The sequence below is a fragment of the Homo sapiens genome, chromosome 7, assembly GCF_000001405.40.
Source record: "Homo sapiens chromosome 7, GRCh38.p14 Primary Assembly".
NCBI classification, from domain to species: Eukaryota; Metazoa; Chordata; class Mammalia; order Primates; family Hominidae; genus Homo; species Homo sapiens.
Window position 1 is genome coordinate 54,990,443 of NC_000007.14, and position 1,976 is coordinate 54,992,418.

A 1,976-nucleotide genomic window follows, 5' to 3' on the forward strand; every position below is an offset into this window, starting at 1 on the left:
CACAGGCTCTGCGAGTCCTCAGTCCCTACTCTTCTGAGAGAATGTGCCCTACCCAAGGCATTTTTCCCAGGACTTCCAAAGCTGCAAAGCCTTTGCAATAACCCCAGGCATTAAATACTCAAGCATCTCCTTCTGCCTGCTACCGTTTGCATTGCCAGCAAAATATCTTTTAGAGTTACTTTTTGGAGTTAGAGTAAATATTTCTATTTCCTTCTTGCAGTGGCAGTACCCAAAGAACATAGAGAAAGCCCTTAGCCAGGGCTATATAATGCCCAACTCAACATGACCCTTGTCTTCCTCTCCAGCCTTATCCCCAGCAAATTCCTTGTTCTTAGAAACTCACATTCTAACAGTAGTGAGCAGCCCGTAGGCCGCTTCATACCTCTTTGCCTTGTGTGATCTTGCTCTCTCTCCAACTCCATTCTAACATGGTTGAAAATGTGCTTCCTCCATTCTGAGAGGATCTGGGCAGCAGAGTTCATCTTTGTGTCCTCTGTACCCTATGGTTTGTCCAAACACATTCTGCTGTTATCGAATCAGGTTCACAGTTTTGCCTTGTTTTGTTTCAATTTGGATCTTCTATACTAGTCTGCTCCTCAGAGGTCCAGTCAATGTTTACATTCCTTTGGGCATCCTTGCCACTTAGCAGAGTGCCTGGCCCATAACTGATGTTCAACGAACAATTGTTAGTGAATGAGTGAGTGAAAAATGAATAAACAAATTACAGTCTTCAAAGGGACATGGTAGCAAGAGATCACCATAGGGACCTTCATGGATTGAGCTGAAGGTTGCCCTTGAGAATCGCATCGAGCTCTCCAAGCATCATTGTATTGGTGTAAAAAGTAACATAAGAGGTAAGAGTGCGTGAAGAAATGCAGAGAGCACGACCAAGTTCCAAATAATGGCAGCTGCTGGCTTTCTCATGAGAGTCTCGGAAAGCTGAGACACATTAGGCAATGGCCGCTGCTAGGAGCCAAGGGAACCACCAATGGCAGACGCACTAGTGATGCTGGTTCGGGAAGGGCTGCAACTCCAAGGGCCGCTGGGTGGAAGGTGATGGCAGGCTTCCTGCCGCCAGCTCACATCAGGACAGCGTCCACCCATCGGGAGGCATCAAACACAGGCCATCCGGGACTTCCGTCTCTGCCAGAAAACCACGACCCTCTCCCTCCCACACGGCATCCTCTCCGCTATCCCAGTGGGCAGGGCAGAGATTGTTTTCAATACATTCTCCTGAAAAGAGAGAGAAAGCCATTTTCCCAACAGAAAGCCAGGGAGCAAGAAGATCTCAGTGAGCCTTTCAGCCAGCGACTGGAAACTTGAACGGACCCAATCTTCACATTTTGATAAAAGGCAAGGGGCAGGGAAGGGGGTTGGAGCTAGAAACAGGATAACAAGAACGGAGGTCATGTGAAATCTAGTGAGAGAAGTGTTCAGTAAAAACCAATACAAACACAAAAAAAAGAGACGAATTTCAAACCAAAATGAGGGTTTAATAATTCTTTTATTGCTGGAAAGAACTGAGTTCTTCCAATTTCTCATCGTGAGAAAGGAACTAATATGTGCCTGATGCTGAAAGTCCAGCAAACCATTTCAATTGCTGAGTTTTCCAGGTAATGGGGTATTTCTTTTGTAAAAGCTAACATTTCCTAAATTTTCGTGTTTTCTTCCTCTGTTGCACCTGTGGCGTATGAAATTCAAACAAGTCACCTAGATTAAAATATTTCTGCGAAGGCTATTAAACAGTGCTGCTTGTGCCTCCGTTTTTTTTTCTTCCTTTCTTTCTTTCTTTTTTTTTTTTTTTTTTTACTGAAAGCAAGTTTTTGGTGTAGAAATTAAATATCTAATGCAAATTTTTAGAAATAGATGTGAAGCTTTTCTTAAAATTCACTAAAATGTCCAGGGTGCTGTAATAATTTTGCTACTATGACTGTTGGACCTAGGAAGAAATTCACCTTGTGCTTAAATACAAAGTA